At 41.5% G+C, this 13,127-nt stretch overlaps 1 pseudogene, besides 1 other annotated feature; it reads right to left on the reverse strand.

Annotated features, from left to right (window-relative positions):
- Positions 10,391-10,890: an enhancer, noted in NCBI's record as "H3K4me1 hESC enhancer chr6:32515949-32516448 (GRCh37/hg19 assembly coordinates)". NCBI's record gives its function as "activates a minimal SCP1, AML or CMV promoter by ChIP-STARR-seq in primed H9 embryonic stem cells {active_cell/tissue: H9 hESC(primed)}" and the evidence as "EXISTENCE:reporter gene assay evidence [ECO:0000049][PMID:30033119]".
- Positions 12,159-12,309, reverse strand: RNU1-61P (RNA, U1 small nuclear 61, pseudogene; annotated as a pseudogene).

Genomic DNA, 13,127 nt, shown 5'->3' on the forward strand with positions numbered 1-13,127 from the left:
ACCTTGTAAGACTTAACGAATAAATAACAAGTTTCTTTACCTATGGTTTAAAGAAAGCAGACTCTTGAGAATGTTGCAAATGGAATAAGTGTTAGCTAACATATCTACAGTTTTAATATAAAATAAATAGGTGACAACAGAGAATACACTCAAACTCAGACAAGTATGGAATGAAAAGCAAAAGTAAGTCCATATCCTCCCATGTAACGAGACCATTTTTAAGGCAGTTTCAAGTGTATAAAAAACTTCCAGAGAAAGTTTAGGGAGTTCCTACATACCTCCTTCCCTAAAATGGCCCTCTGTTCAGTTTATTTTACTATTAACATCCATACAACTAATACCCCTACTTGTAGGGTTAGGAATGGCTACTGCTACAGGAACCAGAATAGCCAGTTTATCTACTTCACTATCCTACTACCACACACTCTCAAAGGATTTCTCAGGCAGTTTGCAAGAAATAACGAAATCTATCCTTACTCTACAGTCCCAAATAGACTCTTTGGCAGCAGTGACTCTTCAAAACCGCCAAGGCCTAGACCTCCTCACTGCTGAGAAAGGAGGACTCTGCACCTTCTTAGGGGAAGAGTGTTGTTTTTACACTAACTAGTCAGGGATAGTATGAGATGCCACCCAGCGTTTACAGGAAAAGGCTTCTGAAATCAGACAATGACTTTCAAACTCTTTTTTTTTTTTTTTTTTAGACGGAGTCTCACTCTTTCGCCCAGGCCAGACTGCAGTGGTGCTATCTCTGCTCACTGCAACCTCTGCCTTCCAGGTTGACGCCATTCTCCTGCCTCAGCCTCCCGAGTAGCTGGGACTACAGGCACCCGCCACCATGCCCTGCTAATTTTTTGTATTTTTAGTAGAGACGAGGTTTCACTGTGTTAGCCAGGATGGTCTCGATCTCCTGACCTCATGATCTGCCCACCTCGGCCTCCCAAAGTGCTGGGATTACAGGCGTGAGCCACTGCGCCTGGCCAGCCTTTGAAACTCTTATACCAACCTCTGGAGTTGGGCAACATGCTTCTCCCTTTTCTAGGTCCTGTGACAGCCATCTTACTATTACTCCCCTTTGGGCCCTGTAGTTTTAACCTCCTTGTCAAATTTGTTTCCTCTAGGATCCAGGCCAACAAGCTGCAGATGGTCTTACAAAGGGAACCCCAAATGAGCTCAGCTAACAACTTCTACCAAGGACCCCTGAACTGAGCCACTGACCCTTTCACTGGCCTAAAGAGTTCCCCTCTGGAGGACACTACAACTGCATGGCCCCTTCTTCGCCCCTATCCATCAGGAAGTAGCTAGAGTGGTCATTGCCCAATTCCCAACAGCAGTTGTGGTGTCCTGTTTAGAGCGGGGATTGAGAGATGAAGTCAGCTGGGCTTCCGGGTCAGGTGGGGACTTGGAGAACTTTTCTGTTTAGCTAAAGGATTATAAGTGCATCAATCAGCACTCTGTGTCTAGCTAAAGGACTGTAAATGCACCAATCAGTACTCTGTAAAAATGCACCAATCAGTGCTCTGTGTCTAGCTAAAGGATTGTAAATGCACCAATCAGCGCTCTGTAAAATGGACCAATCAGCACGCTGTAAAATGGACTAATCAGTAAGATGTGGGTGGGGCCAAATAAGGAAATAAAAGCTGGTCACCCGAGCCAGCAGTGGCAACCAGGTCAGGTCCCCTTCCACGCTGTGGAAGCTTTGTTCTTTCACTCTTCACAATAAATCTTGCTGCTGCTCACGCTTTGGGTCCAGATCACCTTTATGAGCTGTAATACTCACCCTGAGGGTCTGCGGCTTCATTCCTGAAGTCAGCAAGACCACGAACCCATCGGGAGGAACAAACAGCTCCAGACGTGCCACCTTTAAGAGCTGTAACGCTCACTGTGAAGGTCTGCGGCTTCACTCCTGAAGTCAGCGAGACTACGAATCCACCAGAAGGAAGAAACTCCGGACACATATGAACATCTGAAGGAACAAACTCCCGACACACCGTCTTTAAGAGCTGTAACATTCACCGCGAAGGTCTGTGGCTTCGTTCTTGAAGTCAGCGAGACCAAGAACCCACCGGAAGGAATAAATTCCTGACACAGAAGGACTGTCCCATTTTACATTCTCACCATCAGTGTATGAGAAATTCAATTTTTCTGCATTCTCACCAGCATTTACCATTGTCAGATTTTTTAGAGATTTTAGCTTTATTAGAAGTTGTGTAGTGCTATTAGACCAAGTTCTTAATTTGCATTTCCCTGATGGCTGCTGATTTGCATGTCATTCATTGTGCTTATTTGCCATGTATATATATCCTCTTTGATAAAATGTCTCTTCATATCTTTTGCCCATTTTGTAATTAAAAATTTTTTTTTTTTTTTGAGATAGAGTTTCGCTCTGTCGCCCAGACTGGAGTGCAGTGGCACAATCTCAGCTCACTGCAAACTCTGCATCCCGGGTTCACGCCTTTCTCCTGCCTCAGCCTCCTGAGTAGCTGGGACTACAGGCGCCGGCCACAACACCCGGCTAATTTTTTTTTTTGGATTTTTAGTAGAGACTGGGTTTCACCACGTTAGCCAGGATGGTCTCCAACTCCTGACCTTGTGATCCACCCACCTCGGCCTCCCAAAGTGCTGGGATTATAGGCGTGAGCCACCATTCCCGGCCACAATTAAATTTTATAGTCTGCACTCTACTATATATTTTATAGAAGAGCTTTTATAGTTCATTACATATTTTCAACAATGTATTCTTGGTAATACATGTGGTTTTAAATATTTTCTCCATATCTCTAACTTACTTTTTATTTCTTAACAGGATACTTTACAGAACAAAAGTTTTAAATTCTGAAGAAACCTTATTTATTGATTTTTTTGTTTTTGTTTTTGTCTTTTTGTTTTTTACACATAGTGCTTTTGATGTCATGTCTAAGAACTCAGAACTCAGACAGCAGGCCCTAGCTTCTGATGATTTTTCTTATGTTTTCTTCTAAACGTTTTACATGTAGACATGATGTAATTGGGATAAATGTTTTCATAAGGTCTGAGAATTTAAGTTTCTTTCTTGCTTCTTTTTCCTTTTGCTTCTTTTTTGTTTTTGTTTAGTTTTGTTTTTGTCTATGAATTTCCACTTTCTCCTGGACCATTGTTTGAAAAGACTGTAGCCTATATTACCTCCATTGAATTATTTTGCATCTTTGTCAAAATGAGTTCATATAGGTGTATTTCTGGATTCTCTATGCTGCTCCACTAATCTATGTCTATCCCTGCACTAATGTCAATCAGTATTGATTACTATAGCTATAAAAATTCTGAAATTTGGTAAGAGTTACTTCATCTCTTTTTCCCTGTGAAATTTGTTTTACCTATGCTAGTTCCTTTGGTTCTCCATATGCATTTTAGAATAACTTTGTCTACAACTATTACAAATCTTGCTGAAATTTAGAGAGAAATTGTGTTAAACCTGGACATCAAATTGGGGAGAATTGACATCTTTACTATATTTAATTCTCTAGTTGATGAACACAGTAAATCTCTTCATTTCTTCAGATTTTTTTATTTATCAGCATTTCAGCATATGGATTGTGTACATGTTCTGTTGGTATACTTATGAGGTTTTTTGAATGAAAATAATTTGTGTTGTAATTTTAGTATTTGTTTTGATTTCTTTATTACTGTATATTCAAATAAAATTGATTTTTTTTGTTGATCTTGAACTCTGTGACCTTGTGAATTTCCTTAGTAGCTGAAGCAGAAGAGGAAAAGCATTCAGACTTCCACTATTAAGTACAATTTAGCCGCAACGTTTTTGTAGAAGTTATTTATCCAGTTGAGGAGGTCATCCTCAGTTCCTACTATTTTGAGGGGCTTTTTAAAATCATAAATTAATGTAGAATTATGTCAAAGGCCTTTTCTACATCAACTGATAGAACCATGCGATGTTTCTTCTTTAGCTTCTTAATAAGATGGATGACATTGATTGATTTCAAACATTAAACCAGACTTGTGTCCCTAAAATAAACGCTATTTGGCATAGTTTACATATATTTTTAGTTTGGCTGATTTTTTACTTGCTAACATTTTGTTAGGGAGTTTTGCATGTATAGTCATGCAGGTATATTGCTTTTTAATTTTCTTTTCCTGTACTATATTTGTGTGCTTTTGATTTTAGGAAATGCTGGCCTCATAAAGTAAGTTGGGATGTCTTCCCTTCTCTTCTGCTTTCTGGAGGAAATTTTGCAGACTTGTGTTAATTCTACTGAAATGTTTGGTAGATTTCTCCTGTGAAACTATTCTAACCTAGAGATTTCTCCTATAAGTTCAATTCTTTTTATAATTATAGAGCTTTTCAGTGTATCTATTTCATATTGAGTTAGTTGTAATAGTGTGTACTTGTGTACTTTTAAAGGATTCTTTTCCATTTCACCTAAGTGTTCTTGGTGTATTCCTTTGGTGTACTATTGATGTCGAAGAATCTGTAGTGATATAATGTTTCCACCCCAATATTGGTGTTTTTTCTCCTTTTTCCTTTTATTTTGTCCTAGAAATTTGTCAGTTCTATTAATATTTTTAAAGAACAAACTTTTTTTTTCCACTGATTTTCTCTCTCTCTCTCTCTTTTCTTTTTTTGAGATGGAGTTTTGCTCTTGTTGCCCAGGCTGGAGTGCAGTGGCGCAATCTCGGCTCACTGCAACCTCCACCTCCCAGGTTCAAGTGATTCTCCTGCCTCAGCCTCACAAGTAGCTGGGATTACAGGAATGCGCCACCATGCTCGGCTAATTTTGTATTTTTAGTAGAGATGGGGTTTCTCCGTGTTGGTCAGGCTCAAACTCCCGACCTCAGGTGATCCACCCGCTTCAGCCTTGCAAAGTGCTGGGATTACAGGCATGAGCCACTGAGTTCTGCCTTTATATTAGTTTTTTTTTTTCCTTCTTCTTGCTTTAGGTTATTTTTGACAACTTTTCTAGATTTTTGAGGTGGGAACTGAGATTATTGCTTTCTGAAGTTTTCTCTTTTTCAGTGTATACATTTTGTACTATGCATAGTACTTCAAAGCACTCCTTTAGCTATGTGCCAAACATTTTGATATGTTGTATTTTCATTATCACTTAGTTGAACATACTTTTTATTTTCCTTAAGACATCTTTTTTTTTGAGATGGAGTCTTGCACTGTCGCCCAGGCTGGAGTGCAGTGGCATGATCTCAGCTCACTGCAAGCTCTGCCTCCCGGGTTCACGCCATTCTCCTGCCTCAGCCTCCCGAGTAGCTGGGACTACAGGCGCCCGCCACCAAGCCCGGCTAATTTTTTTTTGTATTTTTAGTAGAGACTGGGTTTCACCGTGTTAGCCAGGATGGTCTCGAGCTCCTGACCTCGTGATCCACCTGCCTCGGCCTCCCAAAGTGTTGGAATTACAGGCGTGAGCCACCGTGTGACGGCTCTGGCTGGAGTGCAGTGGCGCGATGTTGGACAAGCTCTGCCTCCCGGGTTCAAGTGATTCTCCTGCCTCAGCTTCCCAAATAGCTGGGACTACAGGCGCCCACCACCACACCGCTAATTTTTTGTATTTTTAGTAGAGACGGGGTTTCACCATGTTGGCCAGGATGGTCTCGATCTCTTGACCTCGTGATCCACCCACCTCGGCCTCCCAAAGTTCTGGGATTACAGGCGTGAGCCACCTCGCCGGGCCTTTTTTTTTTTTTTTTTTTTTTCTGAGACAGAGTCTCGCTCTGTCATCCATGCTGGAGTGCAGTGGCACAATCTCCGCTGACTGCAAGTTCAGCCTTCCCGTGTTCCAGCCATTCTCCTGCCTCAGCCTCCTGAGTAGCTGGGATTATAGGCAAGCGCCACCACGCCCAGCTAATTTTTTTCTATTTTTAGTAGAGGTGGGGGTTTCACCATGTTGGTCTGGCTGGTCTCGAACAACTGACCTCGTGATCCACCCGCTTCAGCCTCCCAAAGTGCTGGGATTACAGGCGTGAGCCACCGCGCCTGGCCAAGACATCTTTTTTGATCCAAGGGTAATTTAAAAGTATGTTACTAAGTTTCCATGTGTTTGGAATTATACTGATTTTCTTCATGTTACTGATTTCTGGTTCAGCTCCGTTGCTTCCAGGGAGCACAGTCTGTATGATTTCAATTCTTTACATTTGTTGAAGTTCCTTTTATGGTCCAGGGTATGAGCGATGTTGGTAAATATTCCATGGACAGTTAAAAATGTGTATTCTGCTGTTTGGTGTGGTGGTCTGCAAATGTCCATTAGATCTTATTGGTGGATAGTTTTGTTGGGTTTCATTATCTTGCTGAGTTTTTGTCCAGTTGTTTCATTAACTTTTCAGAGTTGGTTTGTGGAGTCCCAAAGTTTAACTGTGTATTTGTCTATTTCTCCTTCCAGTTCTGACCGTTTTTTGCTCTACTTATAAGTAACTTAGTTGTGTGGTGTACACACTTTTAGAGTTGCTATGTTTTCTTTCTGAATTAACATTTTTATGATTATGTAGTGTTTCCGTTTGTCTCTCAGAATATTCTCTGCTCTGTGCATTTTATGTTATCTGATATTATAGCCATTTCTGCTTTCTTTGACAACAGTTAGTATGGTTTATTTTTTTCCATTCTTCTGTTTCAGCCTTCCACTCTTGAAATATTTGCAGTAAGTTTCTCATAGGTAGCATATCGACGGGTAATTATTTTTCACTCTGACATTTTGTCTTTTTAGACAATTTAATGTAATGCAATTATTAATATGTGAGCTCTCATGACTGCCATTTGTTTTTTGTTTCCTCTGGTTTTTGCTTCTCTGTTTTCTTTCCCTGTTTTTTGATGTGTCCCTTAAGCAATATTTAGAATTCCATTTTTTAATCAATCATTTTTTGGTGTATCTCATTGTAGAGTTTTTGTGATTTATCTATCTATTAATGCAACTTATAGTCTACTTGTGCTAAGATTTTTTCAATTTGACTGCAGTATAAAAACTTTACCTTTTTATCCCTTTCGCTCCCGCATTTATAATACATATTTTTTATTTTCTCTACTTGCATCAAAACCCAGATCTGACAATGTTGTAATTTTTGCCTCAACCATCAAACTAATTTATAAACGTGAAGAAGAGAAGTCTGTTGTATAGAAAGAAAAGTCTGTTGTCAAAGAAAGCAGAAATGGCTATAATATCAGATAACAAAATGCACAGAGCAAAGAATATTCTGAGAGACAAACGGAAACACTACACAATCATAAAAATGTTAATTCAGAAAGAAGACATAGCAACTCTAAAAGTGTGTACACCACACAACTGAGTTACTTATAAGTAGAGCAAAAAACGGTCAGAACTGGAAGGAGAAATAGACAAATACACAGTTAAACTTTGGGACTCCACAAACCAACTCTGAAAAGTTAATAAAACAACTGGGCAAAAACTCAGCAAGATAATGAAACCCAACAAAACTATCCACCAATAAGATCTAATGGACATTTGCAGACCCATATTTTTACTCATTCTATAGTTTTTTTTTTCCTGATTGTCCAAGATTTCTTCCCTCATCATTTCTATTCCAGTTCAAGCACTTCCTTTACCCTTGTTTTAGGATAAGTCTGCTAGCATCAAATTCTCTTGATTTTCCTTCCTCTAAGAATGTCATGGCCGGGCACGGTGGCTCACACCTGTAATCCCAGCACTTTGGAAGGCCGAGGCAGGCGCATCCCCTAAGCTCAACAGTTTGAGACCAGCTTGGGCATCATGGCAAAACCCTGTCTCTGCCAAAAATACAAAAAGTTAGCCAGGCTTGGTGGTGTGTGTCTGTAATTCCAGCTACTCAGGAGGCAGAGGTGTGAGGATCACACGAGCCTGAGAGGCAGAGGCTGCAGTGAGCCATGGTTGCGCCACTGCCCTCCAGCCTGGGTGACAGAGCAAGACTCCATCTAAAAAACAAAAAAAAAAAAAAAAGAAAAAAAAATGTCATAATAGAACCTTCATTTTATAATAATATTTTTCTGTATATACATTCTAGTTAACATTACTTTCAGCCATTAAAATATCTGGTGGCACTTCTCTCTGGTCTGCATGATTTCTAATGAGGAATACACTGTCATTTAATTTATTTTCTCCTGTACATGAGATGTCATTTCTCTCTTGTTGCTATCAAGATTTTTCGACATAAATTTCTTTGGATTTATCTTACTTTAGATTCGCACAGATTCTTGAATTTTTACTTTAAAGTCTTTATCCAAATTTGGAAAATAGTCAATCTTCCTTCAAAGACTCTTTGGGCATCACCCATTTGTCATCTTTCTCTAAGACTCTAGTGACACAAATTTCATATCTTTTGTTATAGTCTTACAGATTTATTAGCATGAAATAATACTGAATATTATGAATAACTTTACAAAAACAAATTTGCATGTAATGAATAAATTACTCAAAATGTGCAAAGTACTGAAGCTAACAAATAACGTAAAGTATGAAGAGTTCCACATCTCATAGAGAAAGCCGATTGTATAAAGCTTTCCCAAGACAAAACCCCAGGTTCATTTAGCTTCAGTAAATATTTTAAAATATTTAAGGAACAAACAACACTAACTTTATGCAAACTTCAAACATTTGAAAAAGCGGAAAACACTTGCAGTTAGGTTTGATGAGATCTGTGTAAATTTTACTTCAAGATCTGAAAAGAACTCTACAACAAATAGGAATTTATGGACCAATAATTCTTAAGAGCCAAGTTCTTAAGAAAATAATAGCCAACTGAAATCAGTGATATAAAAGACAGCTACTACATCATGACCAAGTGGAGTTTATTCCAGAAATGCAAGGTTGTTTGAGCATTTGAGAATCCATTAGTGTGATTCATTACATTAACTGAAGGAAGGAGAATACACATGGCAACCACCTGGATAGAGTCTTGAAATATGATTTGACAGAACTCAGCACTTGGCCTTAATTTTTTAAAAATCTATTTGCAAACTTGTATTAAAAAGTTATTTCTTCAGTCTGAGAAATGATAGCTACCTTATTGCACATATTAGTGTCAGTAGTGAAATATTTAAAACTGTCTCCTTCATATCTGGAGTACTAGAGGAGTTAGGCAAAGAAAACGGCAAGAAAAATAAATAAAAGATAATTGCATCCAGGTGAAACGGTCATTATTTACTCTCAACATAATCAGCTACTTAAAAAATAAAATTAGTAAACAAACTATTTTAATAAGTGAATTTAAATAATGTTGCTGGATACAAAGTCAGTATACATTAAAGCAAGTACGTTATTGATATAGTTTGGATGTTTGTCCCCTCCAAATCTCTTGTTGAAACATAGTCTCCAGTGTTGGAGGTGAGAGGTATTTTGGTGGGCGGCACATCCTTCATCACTGGCTTGGTGCCGTTGTGTCCGGACTTGGTGGGTTCTTGCTCTCACTAACTTCAAGAATGAAGCCACGGACCCTCGCAGTGAGTGTTGCAGCTCTTAAGGTGGCGCGTCTGGAGTCTGTCCCCTCTGATGTTCACATGTGTTCAGAGTTTCTTCCTTCTGGTGGGTTCGTGGTCTCAGTGGCTCAGGAGTGAAGCTGCAGACCTTCGCGGTGAGACCTTCGCGGTGAGTGTTACAGCTCTTAAGGCAACGCATCTGGAGTTGTTCGTTCCTCCTAGTGGGCTCGTGGTCTTGCTGGGCTCAGTAGTGAAGCTGCATCTTCGCGGTGAGTGTTACAACTCATAAAAGCAGCGTGGACCCAGAGTCAGCAGTAGCAACATTTATTGCAAAAAGTGAAAGAACAAAGCTTCCACAGTATGGAAACGGACCAGAGCAGGTTGCCAAGGCTGGCTTGGGCAGCCTGCTTTTATTCTCTTGTGTGGCCCCACCCACATCCTGCTGATTGGTAGAGCCCAGTGGCCTGTTTTGTCAGGGCGCTGATTGGTGCGTTTACAATCCCTGAGCTAGATACAAAGGTTCTCCATGTCCACATCAGATTAGTTAGATACAGAGTGTCGATTGGTGCTCTCACAAACCTTGAGCTAAACACAGGGTGCTGATTGGTGTATTTACAATCCCTGAGCTAGATATAAGGACTCTCCGCGTCCCTACCAGACTCAGGAGCCCAGCTGGCTTCACCTAGTGGATCCCGCACCAGGGCTGCAGGTGGAGCTGCTTGCCAGTCCTGCACCGTGCGCTCGCATTCCTCAGCCCTTGGGTGGTCGATGGGACTGGGCGCCCTGGAGCAGGGGGTGGTGCTCGTCCGGGAGGCTCCGGCCGAACAGGAGCCCATGGAGTGGGTGGGAGGCTCAGGCACGGCGGGCTGCAGGTCCTGAGCCCTGCCCCGCGGGAAGGCAGCTAAGGCCCAGCGAGAAATCGAGCGCAGTGCCGGTGTGCCAGCACTGCTGGGGGACTCAGTACACCCTCCGCAGCCACTGGCCCAGGTGCTAAGTCCCCCATTGCCCGGGGCCAGCAGGGCTGGCCGGCTGCTCCGAGTGCGGGGCCCGCCAAGCCCACGCCCAACCTGGAACTCCAGCTGGCCCGCAAGCGCCTCGCAGCCCCAGTTCCCGCTTGTGCCTCTCCCTCCACACCTCCCTGCAAGCTGAGGGAGTGAGCTCCAGCCTTGGCCAGCCCAGAAAGGGGATCCCACAGTGCAGTGGGGCGCTGAAGGGCTCCTCAAATGCCACCAAAGTGGGAGCCCAGGAAGGGGAGGTGCGGAGAGCAAGCGAGGGCTCTGAGGACTGCCAGCACGCTGTCACCTCTCACCATCTTAGCTGTAATCCATGGGTTCTCACTCAGTTCACAGGAGATCTGGTTGTTTAAAGGAGTGCGACTCTTCCCCACTTTCTCTGCGCTCCTGCTCTCACCGTGTGATACCTGGGCTCCCCTTTCCTTCCCCCATGATTGTTAGCTTCCTGAGGCCCTCACCAGAAGCAATTGCCAGCACCACACCTCCTGTACAGCCTGCAAAACCCTGAGCCAGTTAAACCTCTTTGCTTTATGAATTACCCAGCCTCAGGTATTTCTGTTTAGCAATGTAAGAATGGACTAACACAATAATGTTCTACCATAAACAAATAGAAAACAAAACCAAGAAAATAATTTTATCAATTTCCTCACCTCTTTGTTTTTTTGTTGTGGTTGTTTTTTGTTTTTGAGACAGAGTCTTGCTCTGTCTCCCAGGCTGGGGTGCAATGGTGTGATCTCCGCTCCCCACAGCCACCGTCTCCCGCTCACAAGCGATTCTCCTGCCTCAGCCTCTTGAGTAGCTGGGATTACAGGCATGCACCACCACGTCCGGCTAATTTTTGTATTTTTAGTAGAGGCAGGGTTTCACTATGTTGGCCAGTCTGGTCTTGAACTCTTGACCACGTGATCTGCCCACCTCAGCCTCCCAAAGTGCTGGGACTACAGGCTTGAGCCACCATGCAGAGCCTTGTTTTTTTGTTTGTTTTTTTTGTTTTTTTTTTAGATGGAGTCTCACTCTGTCGCCCAGACTGGAGTGCGGTGGTGCGATCTTGGCTCACTGCAACCTCCACCTCCCGGGTTCACGCCATTCTCTGCCTCAGCCTCCCAAGTAGCTGGCATTACAGGCACCTGCCACCATGCCCTGCTAATGTGTTTGTATTTTTAGTAGAGACGGGGTTTCACTATCTTGGCCAGGCTGGTCTTCAACTCCTGACCTCGTGATCCACCCGCTTTGGCCTCCCAAAGTTCTGGGATTACAGGTGTGAGCCACCACACCTAGCGACGATGTCTTATTTTTTAAAAAAAGAATTATTTTAACAGGTTTATTGAAGCATAATTTACATACTGCAAAATTTACTCATTGTCTATATAAAATTTAATGATTTTAGTTAGTGAATGGATTTGTGCAATTATCACAACAATCCAGTTTTGTAACATTTCTATAGTGTCCAAAATTTCTCTGTTTATAGTTAATTCCCACCGATACCCCAAGTCCTAGGCACCCAATGATCTGCTGTTTGTTTCTGTAATTTACCTCTTCTAGATATTTTAAGTAAAGGAAATCATACAACATGTAATCTTTTGTGTCCAGTTTCCTTCACTTAGTTAACATTATTGAAGTTCACCAGTTTTGTAGTATGTATCATCAATTTTGTTTCTTTTCATTCCTTTTTATTCATGTTGTCTTCTTTCATTTGTGTGAATTTATAAGGTACAAGTGTAGTTTTGTTACCTGCATAGATTGCATAGTGGTGAAGTCAGTGTTTCTGCAGTATCCATCACCCCAATCACATGCATTGTCCCCATTAAGTAATGTCTCATCATCTGGAGTGCAAGGATTGAAACTTGCCTTGGGAAAACTACCCTCATGTTCATGGTATCTCCCCTGCCATATAAGTCTATTTTTGTCCCCTTTTATTGTTGAATGATATTGCCTTGCATGGATGTAGTACCATTTTGTTTATCTGTTTACTAGTTGAAGGATATTTGGATTGTTTTCAGTATGGGCCTACTATGGCTAACGCTGTTCTGAACACTCAAACACATATCTTTGTGAGGACATATGTTTTTATGTCTCTTAGGTAGATTCCAAGGAGTGAAATTGCTGGGTCATATGGCAAACGTACGTTAAACTTTGTAGGAAATTGCCAATTTCCAGGTATTTGTAAAATTATACACTCCCAGCAGCACTACGTAAGAGTTAAGTCTGTTTGTCTTCAAACATAATTGTAATGTTGATGATACTATTAGAAATAACATCTGTCAGCTGAACACGGTGGCTCACGCCTGTAGTCTCAACACTTTGGGAGGCCAAGGCAGGCAGATCACAAGGTGAGGAGTTCAAAACCAGCCTGCCCAACACAGTGAAACCTTGTCTCTGCTAAAAACGTAAAAATTAGCCGGGCATGGTGGCATGCACCTGTAGTCGCAGCTACTCGGTAGGGTGAGGCAGGAGAATTGCTTGAACCCAGGAGTCAAAGGTTGTGCGGAGCAGGAAACACACCACTGCTCTTCAGCCTGGACAACAGAGCAAGACCTCGTCTCAAAAAAGAAAAATAAATAAATAAATAACATCTGTCTTGTTGATTTTATATTTTCTCTTTATGTTTCAATTTTAATTTATCCAGGATCTATTTAGTGAAAGAAAGGAGTTTGGAATACAACTTACCAAAAACTGAAACTAAATCTCAACTCTTTCTAATTCTAGACTCTGTTTTA

The sequence above is a fragment of the Homo sapiens genome, chromosome 6 (assembly GCF_000001405.40).
Source record: "Homo sapiens chromosome 6, GRCh38.p14 Primary Assembly".
NCBI classification, from domain to species: domain Eukaryota; kingdom Metazoa; phylum Chordata; class Mammalia; order Primates; family Hominidae; genus Homo; species Homo sapiens.